The sequence below is a fragment of the Homo sapiens genome, chromosome 4, assembly GCF_000001405.40.
Source record: "Homo sapiens chromosome 4, GRCh38.p14 Primary Assembly".
NCBI lineage: Eukaryota > Metazoa > Chordata > Mammalia > Primates > Hominidae > Homo > Homo sapiens.
This window is the reverse complement of record NC_000004.12, coordinates 42,313,084-42,329,452: the sequence shown is the minus strand read 5'-3', so window position 1 is coordinate 42,329,452 and position 16,369 is coordinate 42,313,084. Positions and strand designations below refer to the sequence as shown.

Genomic DNA, 16,369 nt, shown 5'->3' with positions numbered 1-16,369 from the left:
GAGACGTGCGTCAAAATTCCAATTTTATTAGTGAAAAAGCTGAATTGAGAAAGCTTAGGTGATTCTCCAAGGTCACCCATAAGGGATAGAGGTAAGAATTGAACCCAGAGCTGACTGACTCCTAAGTCCCTGAACTTTCAGCTGCACCACTCAGCCAGGGAGCTCATCTTCAGCTCTCAAGGGAATGTGCCCATCCCAGAGCACACCTCCTGATTCCTAACCTCCATATGGTGCATCCTCTGGGAATGTCCCTTCTCTTAGTCAATGGTTTGACCCATCCAGATTAGCTGTATATTATCTCCTTCAGCCTCTATAAACACCCTATAAGGGCTGGGTGTGGTGGCTCACACCTGTAATTCCAGCACTTAGGGAGGCCGAGGCGGGTGGATCACCTGAGGTCAAGAGTTCAAGAAGAGCCTGGCCAGCATGGTGAAACCCCATCTCTACCAAAAATACAAAAAAAATTAGCTGGGCATGGTGGTGGCTGCCTGTAATCCCAGCTACTCAGGAGGCTGAGGCAGGAGATTCTCTTGAACCCAGGAGGCAGAGGTTGCAGTGAGCTGAGATCACGCCATTGCACTCCAGTCTTGGCAACAAGAGCAAAACTAAACTCCGTCTCAATAAAAAAATAAAAAATAAACACCCTGTGAGAAGGTATTATCCACTCCATTCTGCAGACAAGGAAACCAGGCTTGGAGAGATAAATTACTTACCCAAGGTCACACAGCTGAGTCTCTGACTCCAAAACTTGTGTTTTTTCCATCATACGAGTTGCCTTTTGCAAGAAATGGAGGAATTCCTTCAAGCAGCCCATCTCTTTAATGAGCATTAAGCATGTATTTGCCATCTGGGGGTTCGTGTTTTGGGTTTGTGCAAATCCCCACACCAGGCATCCCTGCAATCCCTGCAGATAAATCCACCAGCTCCAAAGTGCTTAGGTATTTGCTCCCCCAAAGTGTGACCAAATTAGACTGTGCCTGGCACCCTTTTACTCAGCAGGAGGACTTAGAGTGTGCTGAGCCTCCAAAAAGCAAGCCTTCAGTGCTCAAGCTGTGGCTGCTTTTGTAATGCTCTGTGCATCTGTCAGATGACACCAAAAGTTGCAGCTCTGAAAGCCAGAGCCACAGAAGGACTTCTGTTGGACTTTCTATGTCTTCACTCCATATTCTATCCAGTGGTAAACATGGAGGGACAGCAGAGTGTGATGATTAGAAAAGACTTAGAATGAGATTAGAACACTAGATTGCCTGGTAGCACCTCTTCCAGGCTGCGTTACCTGGGCCAAGTTACTCAACCTCTCTGTGCCTCAGCTTCCTTATCTATACAATGGGATAGATAGCACAGGAGGTTGATACAATAGGAGTTAAAATGTATAAAACACTTAGAAAAGGGTCTGTCTCATAGCTAGTGCTGGTTGGTTAAATAAAATTGCGTAAAGCTGGCAACTAGCTGCTCTGGCAGTGTGGATATTTTTTACTCTCTGAGTGTGTCAATCATCTGTGGTCAAGAACTCTCTTCAGTCCTACAGTCCCAAAAGGCAGAAACTTAATCTAGAACTTGGCACCCGCTGAGGCAGAGGCTGTATCCGGAGGTTCTCAGGCCTCCTGAAATGCAGCCCAGGCGAAGCCTACCTTTTCTATGGGCCAAGCAGTTAACACACATCTCAGCCCTGGTGGTGTGTTCTAAAAGGGTTTCATTCCAAACATCCCCTCATTCTAAGCCCCACAATGGCCATCCTATTTCAAGGGAAAACTGAGGAGACTGAAACCCTGATAGCCTTTGAGCCTGAGGTTCCCTGGGCTGCCTGAGAGCCATGATCTGTAAGGGCCTCTGGGAAGGCTGCGGGCATGGCCTTTCACCGAAGCCCGTCTCCTCCTCCATGCATCTGCTTGCTGTCCTGCTGACAGGCCTTATCCCAGGCAGGAGGAGTCCTCCGATGAGCATTTCCACACTTGCAGGGAAAGGTCACTGCCTTAGATTAACAACTTCTCATTACCCTCCCACCTCACCAGGCTCAAAAACTGCTCTGCTGTGGAGTTTAGAGTCTGTGGGTCCTGAGCTGGTTCCAACAGCACTGAAACCCAGGCAGGAAAAGGGAGCCAGCTATTCTTGAGAATAGGCATAGGGCTCGAGGCAAAGGCTTGTTTTAAGATGAGTTTGACACCAGCCACAAGTGCCCAGATGGAATCTTCTCAGGCATGGCCCCAGATTTGTTTTGTTTTTATTTATTTTTTGAGACGGAGTCTCATTCTGTCACCCAGGCTGGAGTGCGGTGGCATGATCTCGGCTCACTGCAATCTCCGCCTCCCGGGTTCAAGTGATTCTCCTGCCTCAGTCTCCCAAGTAACTGGGATTACAGGTGCACGCCACCACGCCAAGCTGATTTTTGTATTTTTAGTAGAGACGGAGCACCATGTTGGCCAGGCTGGTCTCGAACTCCTGACTTCAGGTGATCCGCCTGCCTCTGCCTCCCAAAGTGCTGGGATTACAGGCATGAGCCACCACACCAGGCCCAAGATTTGCGTATGACCTCTGAGCAGCCTATGCACAGAAGAAAAAACAGGGCAAGTTACTACTCCCATAATGCCGAGGTCTCCCAGAGCCCTTCTCCAGATTCTTTCTTTCTTCTTTCTTTGTTTCTTTCTTTCTTTCTCTTTTTCTTTCTTTCTTCCTTCCTTTCTTCTTTCCTTTCTTTCTTTCCCTTTCTTTCCCTTTCCCTTTCTTCCTTCCTTCATTCATCCTTCCTTCCATCCCTCCTTCCTTCCCTTGTTCCTCCTTCCTTCCTTCTTCCTTCCTCCCTTCCTTCTTTCCTTCAACATTCCCTCCTTCCTCCTTCCTTCCTCTGTCCTTCCTTCCTTCCATTCTTTCTTCATCCTTCTTTCCTTCTTTCCGTCCTTCCTTCATTTTTCCTCCTTGCTTTGTCCTTCCTTTATCCTTCCTTCGTTTCTTTGTCCTAACTTTCCTTCCTTCCTTCCGTCCCTCCCTCCCTCCCTCCCTCCTCCCTTTCTTGTATTTCTCTCTCCTTTTAGTCCCAAGCACTGCAACATATTTGTAAAAATAAAATTCTGGAAAAGTAGAGCAGAGAAGCGAGTTCTGAAGGGGAGAAATATTGCCATTGTCATGTGCAGCAACAGCCAGACCATGAGCACAGACAGAAGAAAGGTGTGAACAAGGTCAGCCAACATCAGACCGTCCCATGCACTTCACTGAGGTTGTCACACAGCCTGCCAACAAGATTGCGCAGGGAGGTTTTACTACAGTGCTACCTTCTCTCCACTTGATTCTTGGCTCTGATTACAAAACACATGCAGTGGTGGGCTGGGCGCCCATGGGACGGCCACTTAGAACTCCCTCACTCATCCCTTCAAAGAAAGAGTTTGAGAAAAATAAAGTAGCATGAAATCCCCCATAGGTATTTCATCAGCTCTTCCTTCTCGGCAATTTCCCTTTGGTTCCATTTTTTTTCCTTTATTACTCTTTTTTAGTTTATGTTGTCTTCCAAATGCTAAGCATTGCTTTGCTCCTATGAAGTCCAAACACAAAGGTAAGCTTTTATTTTCCTAAGAAGACATACTGATGAAAAGCTTGAAGGTTTGAATTAAACGTCCAGACAAGATTCCAAACCATTCCTTTTTTTTTTTTAGTATACTTGAATACTGTTTATTGCTTTAACTTATTTTTTTAATTATACTTTAAGTTCTAGGGTACATGTGCACAACGTGCAGGTTTGTTACATAGGTATACATGTGCCATGTTTGTTTCCTGCACCCATTAACTCGTCATTTACATTAGGTATTTCTCCTAATGCTATCCCTCCCCCTGCCCCCGAGCCCATGACAGGCCCCTGTGTGTGATGCTCCCCACCATGTCCAAGTGTTCTCACTGTTCAATTCCCATCTATGAGTGAGAACATGCGGTGTTTCGTTTTCTGTCCTTGTGATAGTTTGCTCAGAATGATGGTTTCCAGCTTCATCCATGTCCCTGCAAAGGGACATGAACTCATCCTTTTTTATGGTTGCATAGTATTCCATGGTGTATGTGTGCTACATTTTCTTAATCCAGTCTATCATTGTTGGACATTTGGGTTGGTTCCAAGTTTTTGCTGTTGTGAATAGTGCTGCAGTAAACATACGTGTGCATGTGTCTTTAGAGTAGCATGATTTATAATCCTATGGGTATATACCCAGTAATGGGATGGCTGGGTCAAATGGTATTTCTAGTTCTAGATCCTTGAGGAATCGCCACACTATCTTCCACAATGGTTGAACTAGTTTACACTCCCACCAACAGTGTAAAAGCATTCCTATTTCTCCACATCCTCTCCAGCACCTGTTGTTTCCTGACTTTTTAATGATCGCCATTCTAACTGGTGTGAGATGGTATCTCATTGTGGTTTTGATTTGCATTTCTCTAATGACCAGTAGTGAGCATTTTTTCACGTGTCTCTTGGCTGCATAAATGTCTTCTTTTGAGAAGTGTCTGCTCATATCCTTTGCCCACTTTTTGATGGGGTTGTTTTTTTCTTGTAAATTTGTTTAAGTTATTTGTAGATTCTGGATATTAGCCCTTTGTCAGATGGATAGATGGCAAAAATTTTCTCCCATTCTGTAGGTTGCCTGTTCACTCTGATGGTAGTTTCTTTTGCTGTGCAGAAGCTCTTTAGTTTTATTAGATCCCATTTGTCAATTTTGGCTGTTGTTGCTATTGCTTTTGGTGTTTTAGACATGAAGTCCTTGCCCATGCCTATGTCCTGAATGGTATTGCCTAGGTTTTCTTCTAGGGTTTTTATGGTTTTAGGTCTAACATTTAAGTCTTTAATCCATCCTGACTTAATTTTTGTATCAGGTGTAAGGAAGGGATCCAGTTTCAGCTTTCTACATATGGCCAGCCAGTTTCCCCAGCACCATTTATTAAATAGGGAATCCTTTCCCCATTTCTTGTTTTTGTCAGCCAAATCATCCCTTAATTCTTGGTCTCTACAGATCTAACTTGGCAAACTATCCATCAGGAATGCATTCATTCACTTATGCAGTCAGTCACTTGTTCAGCAGGTATTTATTGAATATCTACTGTGCCTCAGGCACCGTCTAGGTTCTGGAGGCACAATTGTCTGCTTTTCTGAGACAATGACAGAAATGTTCTGGGAGTGTACGTTTAAAAATGTATGATAACACGTAGAAGAGACTCTATTTTTATGTTGGGGAGGATTCCAGATTAAAGTATTGTTCCTAATTCTTTACACTTGCCTGCATTTATACCTTTGTCATGGCTTCATCATGGCTTTGGGCTTGATTATGTGACATGCTATGGCCAGTGACACGTGGGCAGAAGCGAGAGGAGGCCAGTTCTGAGCCTAGGACTTCAGAAGCATCACATATTTCCACTTGTCTTCTTGCACCTTTACCATGGCAATGAGAACATGCCCTGGCTTGCCCACTGCTCTAAGGAGTGGAGCCACCCGGGCCTGCAGTGGCACTGCAGCCACCATGTCCTGGAGCAGAGCCACCCAGCCTTTCAGCAGAACCCCAGTCAACCCATGGACCTGTGAGCAGTCATAAGTAATTATTGTTTTAAGCCACAAGTTTTGGAGTGGTTTATTATTCAGCAATATCAAACGTTTACAGAAATTGGTACCACAGCAAAATCCTAAAATATGTGGTATTGGTTTTGGGCCTAGGAGGCAGATAGAGGCTGAAGAAAGGAAACAGTTATAGGAGGCAGGAAAATTGTGACCTATGTTATGTAGTGACAAAATATCTGGTAAAATTGTCACCTGAGCTAACCTGAAAGATAGAAAATGTGCCTAATGAACCTATGAACTTGAGCAAGAAGATTGCCAGGCAGAAGGTTACAATTGGAAGACTTCATCACATATGATATAGTATAGCTTAGAGGAGAACTGGTTAGCTTGCAAGCAGAATTTAGAGGGAATACACAGAGTCCAAACTAGCTGGGTTGGAAAATAGAACTGTTTTTTATCCCCAGCCCTTCGAGCCAGTAAAAGACTCCCAAATAAAATACAGTGCAGAGACAAAGACCAAGTCAAGGTGTGGCCATTAAGATACAGCTTGGAAACAACCAACCCAGGGCACTGCCAGTTAAGCCAAGTCCCCAGGTTAAAGACCAGACTCCAGGAGAAATAAGATAGTACCCTGTCATTTCTCAAACTTTTGCGTGCTTCAGAATCATCCAGAGGCTTGTTAACACAGATACCCAAGCACCACCTCCAGAGATTCCGATTCCACAGTTACAGGAAAAGGCCCAAGAGCTTGTACTTTGAACTGGCTCCCAGGTGATGCTGATGTTACGTCTTTGAGTAGCCCTGGTCTAGGAAAGCCTTCCAGCTGTGCAACCAGGTACCTAGAAAACTTAAAGGCATAGTCCCACGACAACCTGTTATACCCCAATTAATAGCAACTATGGAGTGACAGACACACAGAGAGGTATATCCCAAATGAATTTTGACACATGGGTAGACTAGAATAAAATACGTTAAAACTCATGATGGCATCAGGAAAAATAGCTAATGCCTACCCGGCTTAACACCTAGGTGACTATGGCTCACATTTACCTATGTAACAAATCTGCACATCCTGCACATGTACCCCAGAACTTAAAATAAAATAAAGACAAAAAAAACTCATAAAGGATTTTCCCCAAATTTTATTCCTTCTGTTTTCTTGTTTGTGCTGAGAAATTGTGTCCTTATATGTAAGTAAATGAAAATGGAAGGAATTTGGTCTCGTCTACATCACTCAGTTCTTTGAACCTCTTCTTAGGAAAATGCTAAAATCACAGAATAAGCATTTATCATCTTTAATTTTAAAAGTTCCATCAATTTAAAACTCAAATAAATCCTATTACAATTTTTTAAAATACGAACAATTAGAAACCATCAGACTTGCATAAAGGTTGAACTCAGACATCATAATCATTCACTTTCTCAATGTACAAGTCTTTGAAAAAGACTTTCTCAAAAGTTATGCATTAACCACTAAATATACAAATTATATTTTCACTGAAAAACACCCTGTTTAATCTGCCATCCTCACAAAGATTTGGGGAAATTAAAATATCAATTTCAATACACTACTACCAAGCTAATATTTGTTATACATTAGTTTATATATATTTTGGTCCAAATCTTGAATTACTTATCCGTAAAACTATCTATAAGGAAATATGTATGGGATACATTCCTATTCAATCTTTTTGACCACATCTTCAAAATTGTTTTTTTAGATAGTCATTAAGAAAAATTTGTTCCTTTAGCTCACCTTTCTAGGGCAACAAAAAAAAATGTGTTTTCTTGCCACTTTTAAAATTCCTTGTTTTTAATTTGTAAAACTCAGAAAGTTTTTTCGAAAGTATTATTGACAAAAATACTTCTGGCCTTGAATATAAAGGACTGTGGCTCTTTGAAATGTAAAAAGACCTCTGAGCCCCCAGCTTTTTCCAGGCTGAAAGCATTCTGAGAAACTTGCTCAGATGAAAAAAAGGGCATTTTTCTAAAGCCCGTTTCAGAAGTGGTGGTCAAGGCAGATGATATAAATGGAAGAACAACCATCCTTCCATTTCTGTTTATACTGGGGTAAAGTATTGTCCCCAATTCTGTATCCCTACTGTGTCATGGCCTCATCATGAGTATCCCTTGGCTTTAGTTTTGGCCATGTGACTTGCTGTGACCAGTGGCATGTGAAAAGAAATAGGAGAATGTGAGATGGAAGTTTTTATTTTGGTTATTTCCTTCCTGTTCTGCCTCTGAGTGTTGGGTATTTAAGGTGCAAACGACTTGCCATTTTAGTCTACAGGTCTCCATGACATCCTGCAGATCCAATCAAGCCCTTTGGGACCCTGGGTTGGGGGTAAGGACATTTGCATGTTAGAGGAAAGTTATGATCAAAGTAGTGCACTGTGGTGGATTGACTTGTTGGTCTTAATTCTTCTCTCGTCCCCATCATGCATCCACATCCTTGCTATGGCCTCATACTGCCCCTTGAATTTGGAGTTGGCCCTGTGACTTACTGTAACTAATTGCAGGTATGTCTCAGTGAGTCCAGACTTTAAGAAATGTCATGTTTCCACTCACCCTGTTGTGCCTCTGCCTTTGTCGTGAGAACATATGATGGCAGATACGCTTAAAGAAGGTTGGAGGCCTATGGAACAGAGTCACCTAGCAGACCCAGCAGACCCAGGAGACCCACAAGCCCAAAGCTGGGCCAACCAGCGCAACCCTGCCTAATCAGCTGAACTCCACGTGACCCACAGATATATGATTGCTATTTTCAGCTACCAAGTTTTGAAGTCATCTATTACACAGCAAAGGCTATCTGACACAATGGGGGAGAGAGCTTTCCTGCAGAAAGCATCAACTAAGCCGTTAAAACTGGAGCAGAAGTGGCACCTAAGCAAATGAAAAGATGTTCAATGGCATATGTCATTAGGGAACTGAAACATTAAAACAACAAGGAGACACCACTGCACACTGTTATAAATAAAGTTTCGGTGCTGCATTAGAAATAGCACTCAAAGGCCCTGTGCAGTGGCTCACGCCTGTAACCCCAGCACTTTGGGAGGCCAAGGCGGGTGGATCAAGACGTCAGGAGATCGAGACCATCCTGGCTAACACAGTGAAACCCTGTCTCTACTAAAAATACAAAAAATTAGCCAGGCGTGGTGGCGGGCACCTGTAGTCCCAGCTACTCAGAAGGCTGAGGCAGGAGAATGGCGTGAATCCTGGAGGCGGAGCTTGCAGTGAGCCGAGATCGTGCCACTGCACTCCAGCCTGGGCGACAGAGCGAGACTCCATCTCAAAAAAAAAAAAATGCAAAAGAAAAGAAAAGCAAAAAAAAGAAATAGCACTCAAATATAAAATTTTCTTTTTAATTCTCAGCAAGGCAATGTACTTCTATAGAAGGGTGTGCCCTTTCAGATACAGCAAGGGCAAGCATGCACTTGGACAAGGTAGGGGAAGGGGTTCTTATCCCTGACTCACATGGCCCCTGCTGCTGTGTCATTCCCCTATTGGCTAGGGTTAGACCGCACAGACAAACTAATTCCAATTGGCTGATTTAAAGAGAGTGATGGGGTGAGTGGTTTGGCAGGAAAACTGGTTATGGCAGAGCAGGAAATTGGAATGAGTCAGGGTGGAGAATGAGCAGGTAATCGGAATGAGTCAGGGTGGAGTAGGTAATCGAAAAATGTTGCTTTACGAGGAAGTTAAGTTTAAAAGTAGAAGGCAAAGAATTGAACATACTGACAAATTTCTTGGAAGAGAAATTTAGAACTCATATCTAACAATTTGTCTTCTTGCATTTCCTTATAGCGCTTTCTCTTCAAACTTCTTTAACATGTCTTGGCTTAGTTGTTCTGCTTGATTTTCCAAAAGAAGAAGCTTCTCTGGATAAGGTGGAGGATAGTTAAGGGAGGTTTTAGTAAGTGCCGTTTTTATGAGCCTTTGCACCAACCCACAGATGCATGGTGTGACACAGCACCTGACAAGAATAAGTACACCCATTATGGCTGCGAGGGAAGTAAGAATCGAGGCTATTATTCTTTTCCATCTACCAAACCACTTTTCTAGCCATCCTGTAAAGGGGTCATTTTCCCCTGAGTTGTTGGCTAACTCATTGGACAGAGCAGTCAGACCTTGCAATGCCTTTGTTATACTTCCATCAGGGGCAGTGTTGTTTGGGATGAAGATACAACGTTGAGTTTTAATCACGATGCAAACTCCTCCTCTTTCTGCTAATATCATGTCTAAGGCTATCCTATTTTCCCAAGCCATCTGGCTAGTAGCCCCTAATTGCTCAGCTATTCCTTTAACAGCATCTCTAGTGTAGTTAATAAATTGCTGTTGTTGTAGTAGATGTAGTTTATCCAATATACATTTTTATTAATTGTCACCCACCAAAATATTGACTCAAATCCTGCAGCTATTTGATTTCGGGATTTAAATTGATCTGGTATTCCCCATGGAACTCCAATTGCATTTAAATAGACGTGAGAGTCGAAAGACACATGAGGGGCTTCTCTCGCTTTATGATGTCTTATTTTTCCTTCCTCTGGTTGATGAAATGCCAGGGTGAAAGGGATAGCCAATTGGACTAAAGCACAAGTGCCACTCCAGTTATTGGCCAGAGTGTCCAGTAAAGGTCCACCACAATACCACCACACCTCCACTCAGGGATGAACAAGGGCTGACTGATTGATAAGCTGTTGAAAATTCTTAAGCTCACTGCATCCCTTCAGGTCTCCAAGGAACGCTAAGTTTTCTCCCTGTTGTGGGAGACATGAAGTGAACTTAGTGTTGGGAGATGGAAGCTGGATGGCCCTCAGGGGCTGACCCGCAGGGTGCCAGACTTTGGGATATAGCAGAGAGAGAGAGTGGCACAACTTGTTACTCCAGGCTGTAGAATCCTGGAAAAGAGCTACCATGCAGCCCACACCCGGTCTACTGGAGGACCACCCTAGTGGAAAGAGGACAATCTGGGCCTCTGGACTGCCGTGTGCACAAGCATAACAATTGCTTTTAACGTGTAGATGGAATATTTGATCCATTTCAACCAGGCATTTGCATCTTGGTATCCTGTCTTAATTGCCAAAGTTTGTTTTAAGTCTTTAACTTCTACAATAGCTATTTTGGTCTTGTCGTTAGATGGAGGAGGAGCAATTGTTTCATTGTGAGAGGTTTTGGAAGAAGGCTTAGAGGAAGGTGCAGGTGGCAGGGGATCAAAGAAATGCATTTCAAAGAATCCATTAGGTTCTGTCCCTGAAACCTCAGCCCCCATACCATAAAACTAGCTTAAAGAAGGGAACTGGCTTAGAAAAGGGGAAGAACTTAGAGGGTTTGAGATAATAACCTGCATAGGATTGCACTGGTTTAGCTGACAGTTGGCAGAGGGGTGGCGGTGGTGGGGGCTGTCCCTCTAGTAAAATGAATGTATGGTTTTAGGAAATTACAAAAATCAGTTGGAGCAGTCCACCCTTGCTCTTCAGTGGTCACAGAACATTGGATCGACTATGGCACAAAAGCTCTACATCAGGGGGCAAGACTGCTGGTTGACACTGGGGTCTTTATCAAAATCTCCCCAGATTAAATGGTCCCAATTCACTAATGTCCAGTCTGAGGAGAGTCAGGAGGGACAGAGGTACTTTTCTGAAGTAGAGAGCTGTCTTTGACTTGACAAGCCCCCACAGGGTATAACAAGGCAAGCATCAAATGCAATAGTTTGAGGTGAAATTGACTTGGTTATGTTAATAGTTAGATGGTCAGCAATAGAGTGAGGAAAGAAGAAGGATTAATAGAATAGAAGAGAGTTAAATTTTTCTTAGCTTTAGTTTGGTAGGCTTTTCCCTGGGACTATGGCCCACGTCTCTGGAGGGGGCTGCACTTTCTTGACTCGGGTGTGATGAGTCCATCCCCTTTCCGGTGTACGAACAGCAGTCTCGGTGGTCAGCAGCACAAGGTAGGGTCCTTCTCAGGCTGGCTCAAGTTTTCCTTCTTTCCACCCTTTGATGAGAACGTGATCCTCAGGCTGGCACTGGTTTACCAGAAGTTCTAGGGGTGGTATCCGTGCTAAAAGACTTTTAGTTTTGAGGGAAAGGAAAGTGGAAGATAAACCAGCTATATAATTTCTAAGAAATTGATCTTTTGTTTTAAATGTGGGGACATCAGCAGTGGACTTTATAGTCCTTGGTGCCTTCTTACTAAGAAATTTCCTTTAGCACCTATTTTTACTAGTTTTTAGACCAAAGAAAGCCAAACACCATTTTATATTTGACAATGCATCCTGTATTATTTTATACCAGATAAGCTAAATTTCACCTTTATATTAGTGTTATTAATAACTTAATTTTAATAAAAGCTTGTAGACATATTTATCCAATTTTTAATGTCTGACCATAAAGTAAGATTTTTGTAGACTCTTTTTAACCTTTTATAATTTTTGTTAAAGAGCAGGTTAGAGAAAAACCTGTTGTGCTTTTATTTTAATGTCCAGTTCACAGAAAAACTGGATACCCCTTTAACTTTAGCCAATATGTTTACACTCAGAATTTCCTTTACAATTAACGTTTCAAAACTTGCTTAAACCTTTAAAACAAAATATTTTTTAACCTTTTAATGTAGGTAAAAATCCACATTCTTATGCCTCTTTATAACCCTTTTACCAAAGGGATATTTTACTTTCCTTACACGCCTTGCACATAAACTGTTTCTTCAATAGTTTTACATTCAGGAGGCCTAATTACTTTTACATTATACAATATTTCTTGCATAAATTCCCTTTTATAACTTTTTTTTTCTCATGACTTTCACAGACACTTCTTCGACATGTCTCAACTTTCTGATTTGTTGCAAACATCCCTTTCTTTAAACAAACAGTTAATTTATTTTAGGACAAGAATTTACCATGTAACATTCCTCTTTACATAAATTCTCCACCCCCCACAACCCCCGCTGGCCTTTTTTTTTCTCAAAGATGATAACCACTCTTTTCCAAAGTGAACTTCCTTCATGTCTGTGGAGTAGACTGTCTAAGGCCACAAGATTAGAAGTTAGGATAATACATGTTACACTGTTAACTTTCAGCAAACTTTTGTTGAAAACCTTGTAAGTTTGAGATTTCAATTATTCTTTGCTATTAATAAGACCTTGTTCAATCCATATTTACTTAGAATTGGTATAGATGGCTCCTTCCTGATTCTGTAAGTACTTTAAGGCTTGGCTGAGTGCAAACAGCTCACACATTTGAGCAGACCAATTATTAGGCAATTTTCCTAACTCTGCTTCTACAAGAGTTTCCTTATCACTTACCGAATACCCATTGTGTCTTTTTTCCCTCAATCACCCAGGAGGAACCATCTATCGTCCTGTCCTGAAGGGAGTTCCTCCTAGATCTGATCAGACCTTTGTATGGTAATTAAGATTTAGATCCTGATTTAGATTAAGATTTAGGAAACCTGATGGGTTAAGGGAATTTTCAGTGGTTAATGTTAAATCATCTTTTTCTAACAGAATAGCCTCATACTTTAAGGTTCTTGAGTCAGGAAGCTACCTTTTTGCTTTTTTTGTTTGTTTGTTTGTTTTGTTTTGTTTTGACTTAGAATAGTTCTGACCTGAGGAGGTGTTCTCACAATGAGAGTTCCTCTAAAAGTTATTGTTCTACTTTCTTCTGTTAGCAAAGCAGTTGCTGCTACAGATTGAATGCATTTGGGCCATCCACGGGTTTACTGGGTTAAGGATTTTTGATTTGGAAAGCTACAGGTTGTCAGTGGCCTCAGTGCTTTTGGGCTACACCCTTGTTTACACTGACAACAAGGTGGTTTTGGAGAGTTATAAGGTCATGGAGAAGACCTTCAATTATTAATTATGGTTTTAAATTTACCCTGGCTTTTAAAAGAATACGATACACTCTTTACTACTTCTCTCTCTCTCTCTCTTTGACTCTCTCTGTCTCTGTCTTTCTCTCTCTCTGACTCCCTCTTTGTCTTTTTCTCTCTCTGCCTCTCTCTTTCTCTCTCTCTTTGACTCTGTCTCTTTGTCTTTCTCTCTAACTTCCTCTCTCAGTTTCTCTTTCCTCTTTGCTGGTCTTTCCCTGCCTCTGCCAGCTGCTTATGCTGTTGTTCTCCCCTCTCCTTCCCCTTTCCCTAGGGGAGGGACCGGTGGAAGTGGAGCTACTCTTTCTTCCCTTGAGAAGAAAGGAAAGGGAGTTCTGAATATCCTTCTTACTAGCAGAGGTTTCTGTGAGGTTCAACCCCCTGAAATTTGTGGAAGGCTCAACCCCTCAAACCAGGGATGGCTCTCCTTGCCTGCCCCGGAAGGCTCAATCCCTCAAACTGAGAGGTGACAACGTGCTAGTAGCCCTCGCTCGCTCTCGGCGTCTCCTAGGCCTCGGTGTTGCTCTGGCCACGCTCCAGGAGCCCCTCATCCCGCCGCTGCGCTGTGGGGGCCCCTCTCTCGGGCTGGCTGAGGCCAGAGTCGGCTCCCTCTGCTCGCGGGGAGGTGTGGAGGGAGAGGCACCAGGAGCCGGGGCTGCACACGGCCCTTGTGGGCCGGCGCAGGTTCCAGGTGGGCACGGGCTAAGTGGGCCCCGCAGTCGGTGCGGCCGGTGGGCGCCTGCTGGGCTTGATCTGGGGACGAGCTCCCTCTGGGCTGCAGGAGTGCCCGAGCTAGGTGCCACAAAGTACCCCAGCGAGTGCCATTGAGAGGTGAAGCCGGCTGGACTTCTGGGTCGGGTGGGGACTTGGAGAACTTTTCTGTCTAGCTAAAGGATTGTAAATGCAACAATCAGCACTCTGCCTCTAGCTAAAGGTTGGTAAACGCACCAATTGGCGCTCTGTGTCTAGCTAATCTGGTGGGGACTTGGAGAACTTGTCCAGCTAAAGGATTGAAAATGCACCAATCAGCACTCTGTGTCTAGCTAAAGGTTTGTAAACGCACCAATCAGCACTCTGTCAAAACGGACCAATCAGCTCTCTGTAAAACGGACCAATCGGCTCTCAGTAAAATGGACCAATCAGCAGGATGTGGGTGGGGCCAGATAAGGGTTATTCCCACCTGAGCCAGCAGTGGCAACCCGCTCGGGTCCTCTTCCATGCTGTGAAAGCTTTGTTCTTTCGCTCTTCGAAATAAATCTTGCTGCTATTCACTCTTTGGGTCTGCGCTGCCTTTAAGAGCTGTAACACTCACTGCGAAGGTCTGCAGCTTCACTCCTGAAGCCAGCAAGACCACGAACCCACCGGGAGGAATGAACAACTCCGGACAGGAGGAACGAACAACTCCAGACACACCATCTTTAAGAACTGTAACACTCACTTCGAGGGTCCACGGCTTCATTCTTGAAGTCAGTGACACCAAGAACCCACCAATTCCAGACAGAAAACCAGGGGGTGACTTGCCTTGCTGCTCTGGAAGGTTGACCTGTTTCCTCCCTTTCCCCCTCTAAAGGTCACTTGTACATTTCCTACTTGTGTTGTCCTCTCTGGCTGCTCTCCCAAGGGAGAATTAGGCCCCTCTTAGTGTTGGCATGCCAGTATAAATCCAATGGCAGGATCTGCCCTAAGCCATATGAGGTAGCTATGGAACCACAGAGAGGACTCACTCACTCCGTCCAGCAGTAGGACTTGTCACCATCCACACAAACAACACTGCAAGTAGGGTTGTTTGTGATCTTTCACACACGCACATTTTTAGCCCTCCAGAATTTGACCACCAAGGAAGTACTTTACCGGCTCCCACAGCTGCTCCTTCCTTGGTCTGTGCAGAGTCGTCGCGGTAGTATGTGAGGATCCTTTAAGCTAGGTTGCTGGCAAGTTTCTTTCCGCGTTGCTGAGAGCTCGGGTTATTCCTCGCACTGCATGGGTCCTGATTTCTCACCGCTGAGACCGCCACAGGGGGGCGGGGCACGCCGCCTCACTAGAGAGAACCAGAGACCGCCCCCAGAGGGGAATGTAATCCCCAGCGAGCCCTCAAATTGTTATAAATAAAGTTTTGGTGCCACAAAAGAAATAGCACTTGACTATAACATTTTCTTTTTCATTCTCAGCAAGGCAATGTACTTCTATAGAAGGGTGCTTCCTTACAGATGGAGAAATGGTGAGCCCACACTTGGACAAGGGAGGGGAAGGGGTTCTTATCCCTGACTCACACGGCCCCTGCTGCTGTGTCATTCCCCTATTGGCTAGGGTTAGACCGCACAGGCTAAACTAATTCTGATTGACTAATTTAAAGAGAGTGACGCAGTGAGTGGTTTGTCAGGAAAAATGGTTATGGCAGAGCAGGAAATCAGAATGTGTCAGGGTGTAAAATGAGCAGGTCATCGGAATGAGTGAGGGTGCAGTAGGTAATCTGAATGAGTGAGGGTGGAGTAGGTAATCTGAATGAGTCAGGATGGAGCATGTAATCGGAATGAGTCAGGGTGGAGCAGGTAATCGAAAAAGGTTGCTTTACAAGGAAGTTAAGTTTAAAAGTAGAAGGAAAAGAATTGAACATATTGACATACTGATTCTTTGAAGAGAAATTTAGGACTCATATGTAACAACACCCATTAGAATGGCCAAAATCCAAGACCCAGCACCAAATGCTGGTGAGGATATGGAGCTACGGGATCTCTCACACATTGCTGGTGGGAATGCAAAATGGTACAGCACTTTGGAAGTCAGACAATTTCTTGCAAAGCTGAACACGGTCTTACCATACATTCTAGCAATCATACTCCTTGGTATTTCTCCAAATGGGTTGAAAACTTAACAATCCCCTAAAAAACCCTCACACAAATGTTTATTGCAGCTGTATCCATAATTGCTCAAACTTGGAAGCAACCAAGATGTCCTTCAATAGGAGAATGGATAAACAAACTGAAGTGCA

At 43.7% G+C, this 16,369-nt stretch overlaps 1 long non-coding RNA gene across 1 annotated transcript in view, besides 4 other annotated features; it reads left to right on the top strand.

Annotated features, from left to right (window-relative positions):
* Positions 1 to 16,369, top strand: part of LOC105374428 (uncharacterized) — a 92,257-nt gene that overhangs the window by 61,816 nt on the left and 14,072 nt on the right. The window lies entirely within an intron of this gene.
* Positions 8,127 to 8,176: an enhancer, noted in NCBI's record as "active region_21516". NCBI's record gives its function as "activates an Ori minimal core promoter by ATAC-STARR-seq in GM12878 lymphoblastoid cells {active_cell/tissue: GM12878}" and the evidence as "EXISTENCE:reporter gene assay evidence [ECO:0000049][PMID:35858748]".
* Positions 13,442 to 13,989: an enhancer, noted in NCBI's record as "H3K27ac-H3K4me1 hESC enhancer chr4:42317481-42318028 (GRCh37/hg19 assembly coordinates)". NCBI's record gives its function as "activates a minimal SCP1, AML or CMV promoter by ChIP-STARR-seq in primed H9 embryonic stem cells {active_cell/tissue: H9 hESC(primed)}" and the evidence as "EXISTENCE:reporter gene assay evidence [ECO:0000049][PMID:30033119]".
* Positions 13,990 to 14,537: an enhancer, noted in NCBI's record as "H3K27ac-H3K4me1 hESC enhancer chr4:42316933-42317480 (GRCh37/hg19 assembly coordinates)". NCBI's record gives its function as "activates a minimal SCP1, AML or CMV promoter by ChIP-STARR-seq in primed H9 embryonic stem cells {active_cell/tissue: H9 hESC(primed)}" and the evidence as "EXISTENCE:reporter gene assay evidence [ECO:0000049][PMID:30033119]".
* Positions 14,946 to 16,145: an enhancer, noted in NCBI's record as "BRD4-independent group 4 enhancer chr4:42315325-42316524 (GRCh37/hg19 assembly coordinates)". NCBI's record gives its function as "activates an origin of replication core promoter dependent on BRD2, P300/CBP, MED14 and CDK7 cofactors, and independent of BRD4, by STARR-seq in HCT116 cells {active_cell/tissue: HCT116}" and the evidence as "EXISTENCE:reporter gene assay evidence [ECO:0000049][PMID:35650434]".